General features: G+C 48.4%; 1 protein-coding gene across 20 annotated transcripts, besides 9 other annotated features; it reads right to left on the reverse strand.

Moving 5' to 3' along the window:
• SF1 (splicing factor 1) lies at nucleotides 526-14,462 on the reverse strand. Of its 20 annotated transcripts, none has more exons than NM_001440585.1 (15): nucleotides 14,282-14,462; nucleotides 13,907-14,066; nucleotides 12,418-12,546; nucleotides 9,350-9,425; nucleotides 6,176-6,328; nucleotides 5,884-5,973; nucleotides 5,346-5,529; nucleotides 5,143-5,258; nucleotides 4,942-5,049; nucleotides 4,026-4,206; nucleotides 3,491-3,764; nucleotides 3,112-3,166; nucleotides 2,820-2,999; nucleotides 1,871-2,075; nucleotides 526-1,438 (listed from the first exon to the last, which is right to left on the reverse strand). In NM_001440585.1, the coding sequence occupies exons 3-15, from the start codon at nucleotides 12,497-12,499 to the stop codon at nucleotides 1,403-1,405; spliced, it is 1,740 nt and encodes a 579-aa protein (NP_001427514.1). In that variant the 5' UTR covers nucleotides 12,500-12,546; nucleotides 13,907-14,066; nucleotides 14,282-14,462; the 3' UTR covers nucleotides 526-1,402. The 20 variants fall into 20 exon arrangements, with proteins under 20 accessions (NP_001427514.1, NP_001427513.1, NP_001427512.1 ...); NM_001440584.1 differs by having other exon boundaries at nucleotides 3,112-3,171; nucleotides 3,487-3,764; NM_001440583.1 differs by lacking the exon at nucleotides 13,907-14,066.
• Nucleotides 782-1,656: an enhancer, noted in NCBI's record as "H3K27ac-H3K4me1 hESC enhancer chr11:64532334-64533208 (GRCh37/hg19 assembly coordinates)". NCBI's record gives its function as "activates a minimal SCP1, AML or CMV promoter by ChIP-STARR-seq in naive H9 embryonic stem cells {active_cell/tissue: H9 hESC(naive)}" and the evidence as "EXISTENCE:reporter gene assay evidence [ECO:0000049][PMID:30033119]".
• Nucleotides 1,657-2,529: an enhancer, noted in NCBI's record as "H3K4me1 hESC enhancer chr11:64533209-64534081 (GRCh37/hg19 assembly coordinates)". NCBI's record gives its function as "activates a minimal SCP1, AML or CMV promoter by ChIP-STARR-seq in naive H9 embryonic stem cells {active_cell/tissue: H9 hESC(naive)}" and the evidence as "EXISTENCE:reporter gene assay evidence [ECO:0000049][PMID:30033119]".
• Nucleotides 2,530-3,403: an enhancer, noted in NCBI's record as "H3K27ac-H3K4me1 hESC enhancer chr11:64534082-64534955 (GRCh37/hg19 assembly coordinates)". NCBI's record gives its function as "activates a minimal SCP1, AML or CMV promoter by ChIP-STARR-seq in naive H9 embryonic stem cells {active_cell/tissue: H9 hESC(naive)}" and the evidence as "EXISTENCE:reporter gene assay evidence [ECO:0000049][PMID:30033119]".
• Nucleotides 8,656-8,745: an enhancer, noted in NCBI's record as "active region_4914". NCBI's record gives its function as "activates an Ori minimal core promoter by ATAC-STARR-seq in GM12878 lymphoblastoid cells {active_cell/tissue: GM12878}" and the evidence as "EXISTENCE:reporter gene assay evidence [ECO:0000049][PMID:35858748]".
• Nucleotides 13,607-13,916: a silencer, noted in NCBI's record as "silent region_3488". NCBI's record gives its function as "represses an Ori minimal core promoter by ATAC-STARR-seq in GM12878 lymphoblastoid cells {active_cell/tissue: GM12878}" and the evidence as "EXISTENCE:reporter gene assay evidence [ECO:0000049][PMID:35858748]".
• Nucleotides 14,177-14,576: a silencer, noted in NCBI's record as "silent region_3489". NCBI's record gives its function as "represses an Ori minimal core promoter by ATAC-STARR-seq in GM12878 lymphoblastoid cells {active_cell/tissue: GM12878}" and the evidence as "EXISTENCE:reporter gene assay evidence [ECO:0000049][PMID:35858748]".
• Nucleotides 14,177-14,926: a biological region, named in NCBI's record as "H3K27ac hESC enhancer GRCh37_chr11:64545791-64546392".
• Nucleotides 14,239-14,840: an enhancer, noted in NCBI's record as "H3K27ac hESC enhancer chr11:64545791-64546392 (GRCh37/hg19 assembly coordinates)". NCBI's record gives its function as "activates a minimal SCP1, AML or CMV promoter by ChIP-STARR-seq in naive H9 embryonic stem cells {active_cell/tissue: H9 hESC(naive)}" and the evidence as "EXISTENCE:reporter gene assay evidence [ECO:0000049][PMID:30033119]".
• Nucleotides 14,817-14,926: an enhancer, noted in NCBI's record as "active region_4915". NCBI's record gives its function as "activates an Ori minimal core promoter by ATAC-STARR-seq in GM12878 lymphoblastoid cells {active_cell/tissue: GM12878}" and the evidence as "EXISTENCE:reporter gene assay evidence [ECO:0000049][PMID:35858748]".

The raw sequence follows: 18,688 nt of genomic DNA on the forward strand, positions 1-18,688 counted from the left end.
ACAGCGCTGGCAGGCTGCAAGTCACCAGCAGAGAAGGAAAAAAGCCACTTGGCGGTTTTAATTTTAGCTGCTCTGTGCCTGACAGGCAGGATTAGTTGGCTTGACCTTTAGTGTTGATGCCTCCCCAGGCCCAGGGCCTTAGGTGGCAGCTTCCAGGCACAAATCACCACTGGAGCTCATCAAACGTGGACGTCTGAGCCCCAGGAAAAAGCCTTCAAAGGACAGAGACTAGAAAAATGAGCAGTGAACAAGGAGGGGCAAAATTGGTTCTCAGCGATGTTAACTAGTCACCAAAGGGGAGACTGTGGAGCCACCCACACACTGAGCTCCCACCACCAAAGCCACACACAGGAGGCAGGTGGTGGGCTTCCCTAATTAACCACCCACAGTCTCACCCCCCCGGACCTGGTGCTGAACGAAAGTTAAGGCACCTTTGGTGCTGCTGCTGCTGCTGGTGGTAGAGGAAGTTTATGTGAAAAGAAAAACCGGGCGGGGCAGGCATTAAAAAGAAAATAAAGAAGCAGACCCAGAAAACCACACTGCTCTTTTATTCAATGGAACATCCCCGCTTTAGCGCAGTGTTGAATCTAACACCGAAAAAAGCCCAGAGAAATTTCTGCAGATAAACCAGTGAAGAGAACGCGCAGTATACATTATTGTCAACAGAATCACTTCATGGAGAGGGAAGCGGGAGGAAAAAGGAAGGAGAATGAACAAGGGGCTCAAACCCCTACACACTGCAAAACATTCAGACATTTGGGATTAAAACAAAACATAAAAGGAAGCCTTCCAGGAAGGAGAGGACCAAATGGAATCTGAGGCAGCTCAGGTGATCAAGGAGCACAGGAAGAACTCCAGGCTGGCAGGCGAGCCCGAGGGAGCTCAGGCTGCCCACCCACTGCTGGCAGGATCGCCAGGACGGATGGGAATCCCGAAACCTGGAGATGAACCTACCCTCGGCAACTTTACAAGACTCCCTTGACAAGGGTGGCAGAGATTAAAAAACCCCACGCTTTAAACAAACATCTTTGGGGGTGGCTATGGCACCTTGAAAAACCCACAACCAGCTTGACATGAATGGCCAAAGCCCTTGCCCAAAACCATTTGCTCCCCTCTCCTTGGTAAGGGAAGGAGAACTGGAGAGAAGGGAAAGGAATCTAAATTGCAGCAGAAGACCGGGGAGAGCATCTCCTTGGACGGAGTCTGAAGAAAGGAAAAGATAAAGAAGTAACAAAGGAAAAAGAAAAAAATTAATAAAAATTTCACGATATGGAGCCAGCGTGTTCCGATTCCGTCCACAAAAATAACTCAGGCTGCTTTGCCGAACCATCCTGTCCACCAGGGGCGTTGCTGAGGCTGTCTGCCTGGAAGGGTCACCAATGGGCGCGGAAAGTCCTCACTCTCATGGCTCGGGCCATCGCCGCCGCGGGGAGGGATCCTGGCGGCCCGGTTTGGGGAGAGGCAAAGGGAGTTGGGTGAGGAGAGAAAGAAGACAAAGAAGACACTCGATGCTACGGGGCGCCAGGAGAGCCCAAGCTGGCGCCCCTACTACCACCTGCCCGTTCCCAAGCGAATCCTCAGTCGCTTGGCCCAGCCCAGTGCGTGCACACACACACATGCGTGCACACACAATCACATGCGTGCGTCCCAATGTCTGGCTCCATATGGTGAGGTTCGGCGTGTTTAAACGAGACCAATTCTCTCTATATATAATATATATTTTCTTAAAAAACAAGTCTAGTTCTGTGGTGGAGGCGGTGGGGGAGCTGGAGGCATCCCGAAGGGCGGCATGCCCGCCACCCCCATGCCCATCATGGTGACAAAGTTAGAAGGGTCCATGGGAGGCGGAGGAGGAGGGGGCGGGGCATACATCATGCCGGCGGAACCAGGCGGTGGAGGCGGCGGAGGGGGAGGGGCCCCAGGCGGCAGAGGCGGCTGGACCCCGGGGGGCAGGGGCACCATAGTGGGGTTGCCTTGCATCTGAGGGGCTCCTGGAGAAGCTGCGGCAGCCGCCTGCTGCTGTTGCCATGGCGGGATGGACCCTGTGCCAGCGCTCGTGGTGGTAGTCGTCGTATCTGGGGTGGTAAAGAAGCCCAAGGTCACACGCGCGGGGGCACACCGCGGCTGTCTGCGGCTGCTGCCTTGGGATGGGGGCGAGGGGCGCCTGCTCCTTGCTTGGCATGCGGTACGGTGGTGGGGGGCGGGTGGGCGGGGCTGGTGATGGGGAGTGGAGGGGTGGGCAGGACTACCCTGGGGTCAGCCTCGAGGTCTCTGGGCTTAACAGAGTAAGCCCTTTGTCACCAATGCCCCTGGAAGGGCTGAGGGGAAGGTACCAGACACAAGAACAGCTCTGATGTCCCTCCGCCCAGCCGCCGCCACCACCGAACGGCACATTCAACCTCAAGGCCACAGCTGCTGTCTCCCCACTGCCCAGTCCCACCTCTGCAGTCTCTCACCCCAATCGCAGCCCTTGCCAGAGCAAGCATGCACCATCCCACTCGACCCATATGCACCAGGCTCAGTCCAGCCAGCCGCTCACTCAGCCTGCGAGGGTCTGGACTTCTGGCCCCCTACCTACAATAGCAGGCTCCCCTCCAGGCCCCCACGAACCTCTCCCCAGACACAACCACACCAAACATCAGCTCTCCTCTTCAAGATGCCCCTCCACCCCCTGGACCAGGAGGCCCTTTCTGTTTACAACCCCAGCAGAGCCCAGGGGCTCATCCCAAGACACCTGCCTGCTTGTGTGAGGCTCTATGGTTCCTGTCAGCCCCACCCCCATCCCACCCACCCCCACAAGCCCAAAATATTCTACTCACTTTGCTGCCATGGCAAGGGGGTACTGGAAGCCATACTGCTGCTGGGCGGAGGGGGTGGCGGAGGCTGCTGCTGCTGTTGTTGCCATGGGGGAAGAGGACCAGAGGGAGGGGGTGGGGGCTGCCCACTGGGAGGCGGCGGCGGCGGCGGCATCATGCCCATAGGTGGTGGCGGCATCATACCTGTGGACAGGTGGAGGCAAAGATGAGGCCTCAGGGAAAGGCGGGGACTTGGGCCAGAACCCCCACTCACCCAAGCCTAGGTGAAGACCCACAGCCAGCAGACAGCCATTACCTTTTCCTTGATGCAGGCGATAGACCCCAGAGCCCACAGGCGTACTTCCCAGGTACTGATCTTGATGGAAGGAAAGAGCAGGGACTTAGCAGGACATTGGAACTGGCCAGGGAAGCCACCCCTGTGATAACCTCAGTTGCTATCCTTACGCGAGTTCTGAAAACCATGCCTGTAAAAGGCAGGTCTGTGCTTACCCAACACAGAATCACTCCCTGAACCAGAATGGAGTCTTGCTCCTTCCAGAGCCACAACCCTGGCAAGCCAGGCAGACCCAGCACATTGCCCAGCCACTTGAGAGCTGCTTCTAGCCAACAGCGACCTGACGTAACCCCTTGCTTATCCCAAAGCCCCCAAGGTTTCTGGTCTGACACTTACTTACCCATTGGAGGAGGGCCATGGTGCCCAGGAGGGTGGGGGCCCTGGTTCATCGGTGGTGGTGGTGGCTGCATCCAAGGGGGTGGGGGTCCATTGGGGTTGTGCTGCATGGGATGTCCACCATGCCCACCTGTCAGGCTGGGTAATGGGTGTGGGAAGCTGTGGGGGCCACCTCCGGGCCCACCAGGACCACCTCCATGCATGCCGTGGTAGGGCCGACTCTCTGAAGGGCCAGAATTCATCCAGGGTGGGCGGCTCTGGGTGGTAGACATGAGAGACTACGTGAGAGCATTTCCTGCCAACGTCCCTGCCTGCGCCTCCTAGTGGCAACATTGTTCTTCGGGTTATGACACAGGACCAGAACACAAGAACAAGGTCTTCCCGAAGTGAGAAGTCCCCAAACTGGCCTGAGATCCCGGAAGAACAATGTTGCCATCCACATCCATTGTCTGCTCTACCCAAACCACGTGGCCATAGCTCCCAGTCTCTGCAGTAGAGAATGGGGAAGCCAGACCAAGAGAGCCAGCCCCCAGGCTCACCGGTGGAGGTGGGTTGTTGGCGGGAGCAGCAGGACGAGGTGCGCTGGCCAGGGGTGTGGTGGCAGGCCCAGAGGTGGAGCCCACAGATGCTGGGACAGGTGCTTCACCCAGTTCAGCCATGAGGGACAAATATTCTTTATCCATCCGTGCTTTATCCTGAGCTGACTGAGGATCACCAGGCCTGAAGTGGGGTGGGGGACACAAACAGAGAAAGGGGAAAAACTTGTTAAGAAGGAAGCTTTTATCCTGAGGAACCAACATATGGAAAGTTCTGAAGAATTCAATCACCAGATCATCACACATCTTTCTAACCCCTTACTGGGCATGGCTCTCAACAGTCTCATCAGATCTTCAGTTTCGTGCCCAGTTCTGCATCTGGGATCACCAGAGTAGAGGGGCCCCTGGGCGAAGAGCACAGGAGACCCTGAGCACCGATGAAGCACAGGTTCTCTCAAGTCAATTTCATCAAACTTCATTCCCAGTTTGAGGAAAGGAAAATCTATGCAAGACTGGCACAACTGCCAGAACGAACTTCCTAAACAAAACCTTACATATTCGCCAGCCAGTCAGAAAGTGTTGATATCGAGTGCTGACTTGCAACTGGTCAGAAATCTGTAGAGATTGCTTAGTCTTCTTGAACCAATTCTGAACAGCAAAAGCAGTGAATTTCCTATTGAGCCCCAGTAAAAACATACCCAAAATGGAAACTTCCAGTTTTCTTGGGCTCAAGACAAACAAACAGGGGTATCTGTACAGCCTATTTCTAATCATCCTGGGCTTTAAATCACACCATTACAGACCACACTAACAGAAAGGATGTTTCTCTTGGTAAGATTAACAGCAACCAATGAATGTGCCAGAAAAGTTGTCCTGCACATCGCAGGCTACCAGGAAACCGCAAGAGCCAGCCCCTCACCTTTGGAATTTACAGTCTGAAGCAATGTGGCCAGCCCCTCCACACTTGGTACACACTGTGGTGTTGGTAATGCTGCGGGTCTCTGAGCTCTGCCAGGGTCTTAAGATCCTATTAAAGGAAAAAGAGGTCAATGCAAGGGAACAATCTCTACTTCCATAGGTTCTTCAGGTCTCTACACTCTCCTTTAAACTGATCACATACCTGTTATCGTCTTCCCGAAGGGTCCCATTTAAGCGAGCCAACTCCCGAAGCTGCATCTTCCGTAGATCATTCTGGTCCTCTGGAGTCTCGATACCCTGCTTCAGGATGTTTCTTATCTAGTGAAAATGCAATGGACAGTTAAGTGCTTAGGGCCTCCACCTAGGTTTCTGCTAGGAGGCTTCCTTTCTGGGCTCACCGCTCACCTGTTCCACTGCCTTTTTGACGTTCTCCATTGTATTGGCAGTAACCAGGGCATGAAGTGGCTCATCTTCTCCTGGCAACATCTGGCCATCTTTGCGCCCAACCTTCCCTTCTTTCACAGACCCTTTCCCCCGGATCATAATCTTGGCATTGCACTCCTTCTCTATGTTCTTCAGGGTGTTCCCTCTAGAGAGGCAGAAATGACTAAGTTTATACCTGACAAATTCACACTCAAGAGGGAAGAGAGGCTGGACCAATTTGGCATTGGTGGGAAACCACAAGCGCAGAGAATTGGATTTTCCCACCAAGAGCTCCATGAACTCTATATTATGGTCAGCCACAGTAAACCTGAGGATTTGACTTCTCCGCACTAGTGGGGAAGTTAAGACACCTTCTCACAGAAAGGCATTAATTCAGCCAAAATGAAATGTCCTACCAAAAAGGGGAAAAGTAAGCCAACAGTCCCCAATTAGGCACAAAACGGACACATCTCACAGGCTCTAAAGGAATTCTATATCCTATAGACCAGCAGTTACTCACCTGGGCCCGATGAGCAGCCCCACAAAGTTGATTTCTGGGTACTCATCTTGTGGAATCATGACTTTATCACTCACACGTGTTGCTGGAGGTCTAAGAAAGAAAAGCCTGTGTCACCGCACATTTCTGGAGAATGACACAGCCAGCGGCTTTTCTAAAACCAAATATTGGTACCAAGTGCTAATTATGGGTGACTTGAGGCAAGAGGTGAGTAGTACCAATACTGTCCCATCCCAGCAGGTCACCCATGATCTGCATGTGTCTTCATCCCAGATGACCGAGCCCCTCCGCTTACTTGTAATCTGCAGGTGGCTTGAAATCCGGATTGAGTGCAACCATCTCTGTGATGAGGTTGTGCCGCTCCTCTTCCAGCTTTTTGCGGGTGCGGAACTCTCGGGTGTTAAGCCGCTTCCCCTCGCTATTGTAGATGGGCTCAGGGGAAGGGGACCTGTGGGAAACAGACTCCCGTTTACTATTCTGCACCGACTTCTCTCATTCCCACACGGACTATAACAAGTCTTTCCCAGCCCCTCTGCCTCTCAGACCCTAATACAACACTCTTCGGAGGAACCGACCATAACGTGTGCTACTCAAGATCGTGTGGAATGGGGAGATGGAAGCTGGCTTAACGTTAGGGGTCTGGGGTGTGTGTGAGAAAGGAAAAAAATAAAAGATTTTGCATCTAGAAGTGATGAGAGGAAAAAATGTCTATTCTTTGGGGAAAATCTTTGGACTGTAAGTGGCAAGGACAGTATCATCCCCTGGAGTCTTCTTGCCAAATACGGATTTTCTTCCATTTGAAAAAAAATACATATCCCAACTTTATGAACCACAGAAACCCCAAGTTTAGGCAAAAGGTTAACTCTTGGAGAGCTCATGCCCTATGAGGAAAAGCTTCTGTACCCCTAACACATAGTATGTATGAGCTCTTTAACCCAATGCAACTGGGACTGAAGGCTACTGCAGCTACTTGGCCCCCACAATGGAGAGAGATGGTTCGCTTCGTCTTTGCTTTTCCTTCAATGGCCTGGCTGGCTGTGTCCAAGGCCCAGGAGACAACCTGTTTTCTGGCTGTTCGAGGTTGGGGAGTCTGGGTAGAGAAAAACGTTAAAGTGCTAAAGCAGCTTCTGCGAGAGGCTGCAAATGCAGATTTGGTCATACTTGTCTAGGGTCTGAACCTGCAAACAGCAAGGGGAAAACCTATGATTCTCCACCAGAGTTTACAAGTCCAGAAAGCAGATTTTCTCTCTCTCATTTTTTTAAGGAGTAAAATGCTGTTGCTACAAGTAAAAAAATGTAATGATAAAATGGTCAGTTTACCACAGCTGGATTTTGCGGTAATAAAAAAGAGAGGTTACACTCCTAGAATTTTGAGTTAAGATTACAAAAAGGACCATAGCTTGATATTCTGAATGAAAATTTAGTAGCAGCTGCAAGAAGGGAAGAGACCATGTGGATCAGGTTATTAAAAAAACATACTGAAAGTAATCAAGACTCCTATACCCTTGGTTTAGTTGAGAGAACCTTGCCTAGTTGGAGAGCAAGGACTGAACTCGGCTGCTCCCACTGTCTTCAGCCTAAAGGGAACCATGTCACACCACGTTACACACACGATGGAATAAAAGGTCAGGTTTGTTCATGGCTAATGACGGCTAAATGACACCTCCGTTTCTAGCATTTGTATAAACTGTTAGCACAATCCATTAAGAGTGAACAAAAGCAAACATACCCCAGCTCATTAGACTACCATCTTATACATTTAAGTCTACAAGAAAAGTTTTAAACATGTTTTTACTGTGCAAGTTAAGCAGCATCAAAATAACAATAAAGTGGCTTAAGTGATATAACACCTTTTTAAGAAATTATCTTAATTAAGAAAACCCATGCATTTCCCTCCAACCTGGGCTCAAAAGCAAAACCAATCAGGCATTAGGGCCTCTTTCAAAACTGAATAGAAGGGAGGAAAAACCCTGCTCTGGTTTTATTTCTAACATGCTTGACATTTCTAATTCCCACCCCACAGCTGTCTAGAATTAAGCATTCTTAGCTAGTTACAAAAACAAGTCTTACCAGCACCCAATTGGCCATGTGAAGGCCTCACAACAGTTTAACCTCCTCCCAAATTGCAGAAGTGAAAGGCAAAAGCTAGTATTCTAGAGGTTAGACTGGCCCGACTTCTTCACCTCCAACAGGCATCGGCTAGATCAACTAAATTCTAATCCCAGTTATCCAGGAAGCAAAGAAGGTTTGTTAAAAATTCAACCTTTGGAGGAATTGACTGGTGACCTGTAGACATATTATTAAAGGGAAAAAGGCCAAAAAGGCACTAAACAGTTGTGGTCTATGACCTACAATGTAAATTTAAAAAAAAAAAAAATCTTCAAAAAGAAACGAAACACAACACAACCCTACAACCAAAATCTATCTATAGGTAAAATATAGCAAATGTAGTAAGTCAAATTAAAGAGTCAATATGGAGAAACAAGGAAGTTAATGTTTCCTGGCAAAGGGCGGAAGAAAGATGCATGAGTGAGTGACTTCTAAAGCCATTACATCATCTTCCTGATTTAATAAGCTATTAACTGGGTAACAAAAACCAAAAACACTACTTTTTAAAGCAAAGTCTTTTCAACTATTCTGTATGTACTAAGAGAAAATTCAGTGAGAGGGAGAGACTTACTGCCCTTCTAATTAAATGACCAATTTTAGCTGTTCAATCAGCTAATAAAATTCCAGTTTAAAAAAGTTCATCTCCCCCACACAATTTATTTTTCTGAGGTGAGAGAAACTGCAAACTGAAATGACATGACCACAGCTGTTTGAGGCCCACGCTCCCTTTAAGGAAAAAAAAAAAGTAATTTAGGGTTGGTTGCATGCCTTCCCAAAATAGGTGAGAATATTCTGGCCCCTCCCAACACCCCCAAGGCAATGGCCAAGGCTGAAAGTTAACTGGCAGTGAAAGAAGTTGGTTAGAAATCTCATCTGATTTTGAAACCATCTCAAAACCATGAGCAGGAAGACTGCAGCAATGAGCTGACCAGAGCTCCTGGCTTGCTCAAGTTCAGTGATGCTCAAAAATATTTTTAGTCCCTGCACTGTGTACCTGTGAGAAAAACTCTATGCCCTGGGCTTTTGGCCAAAGCAGGTACTGAAAAGGCAGGTTAACGGGCCACCTCACTGTCCCCTAAGGGTGGGTAAATCAGGTTAAGATCTACATGCTTACCAATTGGAAACCAGTTGTCCATTTTCCTGTAACTTTTTATTCTCCCAACATTTTTAAGTTTTATTCCAATTTTCTAACTGTTGACTGACCATACATATTTCTAATTAAACCTTAATCCCCAAAGTGGTCAGGGTACAGTCGTCATACTATGATTTTATTGAACTGACACAATATGTTGCCACCAGTAAAACGTATTGAGAAAAAGGTAAAAGCGTTACTGTCAGCTGGTTAAAACTGTTTCCCAACCTGTCCTCAGGGTTAGGGGGGATGCCCAGGTCTCCTGTGCGCAGTTTACGAGTCAGGTCTTCTATCTGCAGTTGCACTGGAAGAAACCAGGTTAGGAAAGAAAAAAAAGGATGGAAAAAAGACAATGTTACCAATAAACATCTCAAATCTCAACAACAAGCATGAAGAACTCGGAGACTTTGAAAGGGACGACTGATCAGTGAACACATTGAAGCAAAAACCCCCAACCACCTATCGGCAGGAGTCCTTTTACATCTATAGGTTTTTTTCACTTCAAAATGGTTATCACTTAAGGAAGCAAACAGTTTGTTGGAAGAGGGGTTAGCAATAAAGACTGTTCACTAAGGCTAACATCCAAGCAATTATTAGGAGGTGTTTCACCTCTTCCTCCCCACCAAGGCTTGCTTACCATTGGTACCCAGAACCATAAACCATGTTACGTCACCAATACCCGACTCCCATCAAATTACTTGAGGGCAAGAATTGAGTTTTTTCTTCATTAAATGTTAAACATAGCCCAAAATGAGACCCAATTAACATGGGACAAGGAAAAATACCAATTGAGCAAAGATCATTTTCATTAATACATTTAAAATTCCTTAAATAAGACATTTAATAACAAAATTCAACACCTTATAGAAATTTGTACATACTCTTTCTGTACAACCAGACCTGTACTAGTAAGGGTCTCCCAATACCTGCAGCTCTTATTCAATTATATGAAATATTTATTCAAATATTAAATGACAAACCACATATCTTAATAAACCAGTAACCATAAAGTGCTAAGAATTTGTTTTCAGGCTCACTGTTCATATGGGGAGCAGGCGTGTAGAAGAATGGAATGTGTGTTCAAGGACAATGTACTTGGCCCTCGGGCCTTGACCAATGAGGCTGTGCATGAAAAAGAGAGATGAGGGTTTCACAAAAGTTGCCAGTGACGCCAGGGAAATGTTACACAGCTGATTTTCCAAGATAATGGGAACTGCAGAGCCAGAGCAGCTTTCTTCAACATGCGGAATAACCACCTGTTCCTTACCTTCGCAGCATCTGAGAATTTTCAGCAGGCATCTCCAATAAGGGCAAATGTTACTAGGTTGGGTTAAAACTGAGCTGGCTCCAAGATAGGATTAATGCGTGTCTAACCAAAGATTCCTTCTAACTTTAAATACATCCACAGGGCTATACCACACCCACACACTAAAACCCTGAAGAAATGAAAACCCATTATTATCGAAAGAAAATACTGGCCGGGCACAGTGGCTCACACCTGTAATCCCAGTACTTTGGGAGGCCAAGGCAGGCAGATCATGAGGACAAGAGATCGAGACCATCCTGGCCAACATGGTGAAACCCCGTCTCTACTAAAACTACAAAAAAAATTAGCTGGGCATGGTGGCGTGCGCCTGTAGTCCCAGCTACTTGGGAGGCTGAGGTGGGAGAATCACTTGAACCCGGGAGACGCAGGTTGCAGTGAGCCGAGATCGCACCACTACACTCCAGCCTGGCGACACAGCAAGACTCAGTCTCTCAAAAAAAAAAAAAAAAAGATATTGAGGGCATCCTGGACAAAGCAGTATGTACCGTGGGAGACAGAAAAGTAGTAAGACACATGGTTCCCCAAGCTCCTTTATGCCTAAAAAGTTCTGACTTTGCAGTTGAGTATTAAGCTCAACAACTCGAGGTGAAAGTCACCTTCACTGAGGGGAGAAGGTGAGTCTTCCTAGCTGACTATGGAGATGTGGGGCCTGATCTAAATAAAAAGGGTCATTCTCTTCTGTGGAGAACTACACCTCTCCTTTGATTCTATTTTGATTATAGCTATAAATAGTCCTTAGGGCCCAGTGAACTAACTAGCCCTCCACAAAAACAGAAATGGAGATATAAAGAATTTGTGCTCTTCCCATCTTCTAAGTATGCTTGTGTTCTTGGGATATCACTCCACTAGGGGCATTTCACAAGGATGTAAAGACCCAGACTAGTCTAATATGAGACACAATGGAATGGGTGGGAGTAGACAGGAACAGTAGGGGAAAGAACAAGTATTAGTAGTACTGTGAAAGGAGACAGACAATTCCAACGCCTCAAAATTCTCAGCAGTCTAAAAAACAGGAAATTAAGACCCTCAAAAGTAGTAACATGCTGGCCTTGAAGCTTTTTGGTTGTGAAGGCCACAGCCTCGTAGGTTTAGGAGGTCTTTGCCCGAATTTCCTCCAAAGGGGATGTTTATTTGGTTAGTAGGAAATGTTTATAAAGTGAACTTTTTTGAGACAGCTGCACAGGTATATAAAGATAAAACTTGCATTAAAAACTTTTTTTTCCAAAAAAGCAATTTTGAGGTTAATTTCAATTCCACTGTGGATAGTCATTAATTCTCAAAACCTCCCAGCAAATAAAACCTTTTTATCCTAGCACTTCATTCCATATCCATGCAATATCCCTTTCCCAGCAGAGTTCTTTAAAAGTAAATACAAGAGCCTTCATTTTAAGACAGCTCTCCATAGACCAAACCAGAAAAGATGTTGAAGGGAAGGTTAAACTCTTAAATTCAAGAAAATAAAAAGGGGTAAATTGTAAACACACTTTCAGAACCACTTTTTGTCATTTTTTTTTTTTCAGAAAGTACCTATAAAAAGTAAAAGACCACATTTTAGGGGGAGAAATATAAAATTATGGTGAAAGGCCACGCTGTGAAAAGTACTTGGTTTACAGTACCTGCGGTGTTCTCCACTGGGGCCTGTCCAGAGAGGCAGATGACACTCACCTCATCAACTGGCAATGAACAGCAGCTGAAAAGGGTGGCTGCTGGACTGGGGACTGTTCTTACTCCTAAGTGAAACCCTACCTTCCTGATACTCATGGAGAACACTGCAGTTACGAACAGACCAAAACAAGGAGCTGCAAATGCAGAACTCACTGGGCAAAAACTGACAGATGATACCAAAGTCGTGAAAGTATCTCATCTCAAAAAAGATAACTACAATCTCAAACTTTCAAAAAATGCAGATCTTGCTCAGAATAAATCGTAACAATCTCAAAGTGCATTTGGATGCAGAACGTATATTTACCTATATAAGCTCTTTCTTGTTCTCGAGTAAGTCCAGGGGGAATAACTGTAGGCATTCCTGGAATCACTGTCTTCTGTTCCATTGTGTCTTGGTTCCAGCGGCTCCTCTTCCGCTTCTTACTTGGGAAGTCTAAAAGGCAGAGACAAAATCCATCCGATGTAAATACAAGTAGTTATCAACAGACAGCTAAGGGTATTTAAGGTACTACACAGAAACTCAGCAGACTGTGAAGCTGAGAGCTTAACCTAAAACTTAAACATTAAAAAAACAGAAAACAAACCTCAGAGATCAGAGATTTAAAGCTTATGGCCACTACAAGGGTATGTGGTCCTTGGTCAGGCAAGTTAACATTTCACCTTCTTTTGTCTAGAAAAACTGTCAGATATATAAACGTGGTAATCTTAATGCATATGGCTGCAGAGAGTGTTAGATAGATACTACATCAACCATGAGTGCTCTGAAATCCCCAGGGGAGACAAAAATACACTGAAGAATCATAGATTTGTAAAGCAGTCCTGATGGGACTGGGGGCTCCACCCACCTCCACTCCCCTCACCAGTCACTTTTGTACGAGAGGCCGGACCACAACTAAACCTAGTTACACCCTACCAAGTGGGAAAAGCCCAATTCTTCAACAAGATCACCTTTGTCTTCATAAGTTTAGCCAAGATCAGCATTCAGTTTTCCTGGCCAGTTGGACACTGAGGGTCTGAACTCTTAAAAGGATCTATCAAAAATTCAACAACCTATACAATAGCAGCCAAGTTCTCCTTTCCCCGTACATAGGCAGAAACTCCCTACATTTGCCACAAAAGAGTCCTTCTATTTCCCAAGGGGTACAGGATCAGAGGGAAAAGCTTTTTAAAACAAAGCGACAGGGCAGCCGATCAGACTGAGATCTAAACATACTGAACAGATTTAAAAAAAAAAACAAACTAAAATTCTCTCCCCAAAAGAGACCAAGAAAGATCAGACCCAACCATCATCTGAAGCATGCCAACCTCTCCCGGATGAAAACCCTGCCTTGCTGTAGAAGCAGAGGAGCTATCCTTGGTACGGTTCCCATTCTGGTTCCTCAAGACCAGAAGGGAGTCGCTGCACGTCATCAGGTGAGGCTTTCACGCCCTGCTGGCATTCACAGCTAGCACCCCGTCCAGCGCTGAACACCCGCCACCCCTGTTCCCGACACCAGCGGACTGGACAGCAATAGTGGGCCCCCAGTCTATACAGTTGCGCCGCACAGCCCGGCCACCTCACTGCGTCTGCGCACAGAGCGCCTCCCGCCCGCCCAGCCCTCCCCCCACAGCGCGCGTGCGCACTCGAGGCCCTAGAACCAGGCCGCGCGCGCCCAGGGGCGCCTCCGCCCGGGCCTCCCCGTGCGCGCACGCGCGCCCCTGCCGCGTGCAGCCGCCGTCGCCGCCGCCGCGCGCCCCTCAGGCGGCCGGGCCCGTCCGCGCGACGCCTCTCGCGCTCTCTCGGCCCGACTCACCTCCTCCGCCGCCGGCCGGGCCCGGCTGCTGGTCCTTACGCGGCGGCTGGGGTGGCGGCGGCTGCGGCGGCGACACGCGCTGGTAGAGCGGCGGCGGAGGGGGCGGCTGCGGCGGCGGGTACGAGGCGCCGGGGGACGGTGGCGGTGGAGGCGGCGGCGGCTGCTGGGGAGGCGGAGGGGGCGGCGGCGGAGGCGGCGGAGGCAGCGCCGCGAAGGGGAAGGCCGCGGTCAGGGCCCCCATCGAGCCCACGGGCGGGGGCGGCGGCGGCCCGGGAGCCAGCAGCCCCGCCCCAGGCCCGGGTGCAGGCGGAGGGCCCGGCTCGAAGCCTCCTTTGGGCCCGGGGAGCGGGGGCAGCCCGGGGGGGCCCAGCTTACCCAACGGCGTGGCGTTCGCTCCGGTCGCCATGGCGCCCCCGGGGACAGGCACCGGCACCTGCTTTTCCTCTGCGGCGGCTTCTCCTTCGCAAGCCTCCCGGGGGGAGGGGACCCGAATGCGCTGCCGGAGCGCGCGGAGCCCGTCCTCTCACGCGGCGGGCGGCGGCGGCGCGAGACGCACAAAGAGGGAGGAGAGAGGGCACCGCGGGGGCGGGCCGGGGGCGGCGGGGCCGGGGCCTGGATTGGGCCGGGCCGAGGCGAAGGGTCGAAATCGGCGGCCTCCGATTGGCGGAGCCTCAGTCCTTCTTGATGCGCGCTGGGATTGGCCGAACCGTTAGGCCAAGCGAGGAAATGGCGGCGGAGTTCGGTGGGCTGGGAGGTGTCGCAGCGCGCACTTCATTTGTTACTGCGTGAACTGAGCTCCGAGTCCAGAAAGGAGGGGATGGGGTGGGGCGAACTCTATGACGGAGCGACGGCGAGCTCTCTCATTGGCTGCGGTGGTGGACTCAATCAATCTCGCCTGCGTTGTAGTGTCGCGGGATTGGCTGTCGCTGGTTCCAGCCTTTTTCTACTCCCCTCCCCCAGGGGGCAGTTTCTCCGGGATTAAGCGAGAGTCGCGGCGGAAAAGGCCCAGCCGGAACGAGATTTACGGCGGGGGAGTCCTGGAGCAGGAAGTGCGCATGCGTAGATGGAGCAAAACCGCCTCTCCACCCGTCTCCCTTCACCATCGACCCTTGGGTCCAGCAAGGAAGCCCTAAGTGACGTCAACCTTTGTTCCCATGGTAACGCAGAACCTTGGGGCGGGAGCAGGGGAGGGGCTGGCGCGCGCCGGAAAACCGGCTCAGTTGACGCTGCAGGTAAAAAGACTTCCTGTTTTTTTGGAAAAAAAAAAAAAAAAAAAAAGTGACCCAAAAAGCTACGAATAGAGACGACTTATCGAAGGATTTAAAACAGTATTTGAACTGATGCAACAACATATTAGATGAAAGGTAACAGAAGGTTGTCAGTTCAAAAATTACAAATACACACTTCTATTGGAATCTCCACGGAGTTCAGAGGATTTAATTAAATGATCTTAAAATCGTATAAAACAATAACTACGGCCGGGCGCGGTGGCTCACGCCTGTAATCCCAGCACTTTGACAGGCCGAGGCGGGCGAATCACAAGGTCAGAAGGTCGAGACCAGCCTGACCAACATGGCGAAACCCCGTCTCTACGAAAAATACAAAAATTAGTTGGGTGTAGTGGTGCACTCCTGCAATCCCAGCTTCCCAGGAGGATGAGGCAAGAGAATCGCTTGAACCCGGGAGGCGGAGGTTGCAGTGAGCCGAGATGGGGCCACTGCACTTCAGCCTGGGTGACAGAGCGAGACTGTCAAAAATAAAAATAAAAATAACTACTACAGTACTGGGAAAACTTTACAAGACGGAGCAGGAGCTTGCCTTTCCAGATGACAAACATAGTATATAAAACACAATAGGCCAGTGCCAAGGCACTGGGAGGCCAAGGCGGGGGGATCACCTGAGGTCAGGAGTTCGAGACCAACCTGACCAACACGGTGAAACCCCCGTCTCTACTAAAAGTACAAAAATTAGCCGAGCGTGGTGGCAGACGCCTATAATCCCAGCTTCTCAGGAGGCTGAGGCAGGAGAATTGCTTGAACCCAGGAGGCGGAGGTGTAGTGAGCTGAGATCGCACCACTGTACTCCAGCCTGGGCAACAGCATGAGACTCCGTCTCAAAAACAAAAAACCACAATAATAAAACAATATGATATTGTTGGTAGGAAAGACACATTAGTGCAACAGAATCCGGAAATACCACAAATGTAGTATTTTATTTCAATCAGGAAAAGATGATTTCGTTGATAAATGGCGTAGAATCTTAAATTTAAACAACAAAACATTTAGAATATAATTTAGGAGACTATAAGGGTATTCTAGGGGTTGAGAGACTGCAAAGACAGGAACCTCAAACTGTAAAAAGATATACTTGATTACCCCGAAAATTAACACTGATAAAAGTCAAGAGACAATGATAGATGAGGAAAAAATATTTGCCATACATGATAAAGAGCCAATACCTGTAATATACAAATACATCTTAAAAACTAATTAGAAAAAAGGCAAAAACAATAGAAAATGAGCAAAAAATAGGAATGGACATGTCTCAGAAGAACAAATCCAAATAGCCAAGAAATATGAAAGGGTGCACAACCCCTCTGCTGTGGTTTTTTAAAATAAATAGAAAAGATGTTGGAACCCCCACAACACTTGAAACCTGGAGAGAGAGGTGACTGTGATCTCAGCCATGTATGGTTATAATTTTTTCTGAGATAATAAATTAGACCTGCTTGTTTTTCTTGTTCTGTACAATTATTGGAGAGAATTAAACATGGGACAAAAACCTGCTGCCTTCTTAATGACCCTTCTTATAGATAACTTCCCTTTTGTTGTCCTGCTTTACTTAGACCAGATGACAGCAAACCCATGACTATTACACCCTCTGTAAAAAATGTTAAATGTATGCCTCCCAAAAAGAAACACTGCTTACAACCAAATTATTTATTATTATTATTTCAATTTGAGACAGAGTCTGGCTCTGTCGCCCAGGCTGGAGTGCAATGGCACAATCTCGGCTCACTGCACCCTCTGCCTCCCAGATTCAAGCGATTCTCCCACCTCAGCCTCCTGAGTAGCCGGGATTACAGCCACCTGCCATCATGCCCAGCTAATTGTTACATTTTTGTAAAGATGGAATTTCACCATGTTGGCCAGGCTGGTCTTGAACTCCTGACCTCAGGTGATCTGCCCGCCTCGGCCTCCCAAAGTGCTGGGATTACAGGAGTGGACCACTGCACTCGGCCTATAACCAAATTACTGTAAGTACGCACTGACCATATATGAAGAATGTAATCCTAAAACTCCTCTGCCTTTGTGTGTGTAAATGAAACCTTAACTTCTCTACTTCGAAACACTGACTCCATTCATTTGGAGTCGGTGTTTCCAGGTAGTCCACCCTCATGTTTTGTGCTTGAATAAACTATTGAAATTAGATTCTGACCCTTTTGATTACTTTAGGTGGACAGGTTTGAATGTGTCCCCCAAAGCTCATGTGTTAGAAACTTAATCTCCATCCAGGCGCGGTGGCTCCAACACTTTGGGAGGCCGAGGTGGGTGGATCACCTGAGGTCAGGAGTTCGAGACCAGCCTGGCCAACATGAATCTCCTGCCTCAGCCTCCCAAGTAGTTGGGATTACAGGTGCCGCCACTATGCCTGGCTAATTTTTTGTATTTTTAATAGAGACAGGGTTTCACCATGTTGGCCAGGCTGGTCTCGAACTCCTTACCTCAGGTGATCCACCCACCTTGGCCTCCCAAACTGCTGGGATTATAGGCGTGAGCCACCGTGCCCAGCCAGAAATCTCTATTCTTTATAAATTACCCAGACTGGGTGTGGTGGCTAATGCCTGTAATCCCAGCACTTTGAGAGTCTGAGGTGGGAGGATCTCTTGAGCTCAGAAGTTTGTGACCAGCCTGGGCAACATCTACTAAAAAAATAAAAAATAAAAAAAAAATGCTGGTCATGGTGGTCCATGTCTATAGTCCCAGCTACACAAGAGGCTGAAGCAGGAGGATTACTTGAGCCCAGGAGATCAAGGCTGCAATGAGCTATGATCACGCCACTGCAATCCAGCCTGAGCAACAGAGCAAGACCCTGTCTCAAATAAATAAATTACCCAGTCTCAGGGATTCTGTTATAGCAGTACCACCTTAGACTGTGCTGAGTTTGTGCGACTGAGACTAGCTAATTTATTTACCAGTATTTAGACACTGCCTATAAGGGAAATACAAATTAAGGTGATAATGAGGAATCTCAAAATAAATGAAAATAGCAGAACATAAATGTGCTAACACCTACTATCGTTAATCTTTTAGAAAGCATTCTGTTGTCTATTAAAATTGTTCCCCCTTTCAAAAAATAAAAAAATATGCACCTGTACTCACAGCTACTTGTGAAGCTGAGGTGGGAGGATCCCTTGAGCCCAGGAGGTAAAGGCAGAAGTGAGCTGTGATTGGGCGACAGAGTGAGACTCTGTCTCAAAAGAAAGAAAACATAAACCCTTTCGATCCAATATCCCACTCCTGGGAATCTGCCCCCAAACAAGCCATGTGATTATATAATGTTTTCAAAGTCTTCTGCATTTACTGCAGCATTGTTTGTAGTGGTAAAAATGGGCAAACAGAGTGAATTTCCATCAATATATGAACGACTGAATTGGAAAACCCATAACCTAGAATATTAGGCAGCTTTGAAAAGCTGTTAATTCATACCAACCAACCTAAAGTAACTACTGTTCTGTGTTAACAAAGAAATACATATGACATGGCTTTGTTTTTGTAACAC

The sequence above is a fragment of the Homo sapiens genome, chromosome 11 (assembly GCF_000001405.40).
Source record: "Homo sapiens chromosome 11, GRCh38.p14 Primary Assembly".
NCBI classification, from domain to species: domain Eukaryota; kingdom Metazoa; phylum Chordata; class Mammalia; order Primates; family Hominidae; genus Homo; species Homo sapiens.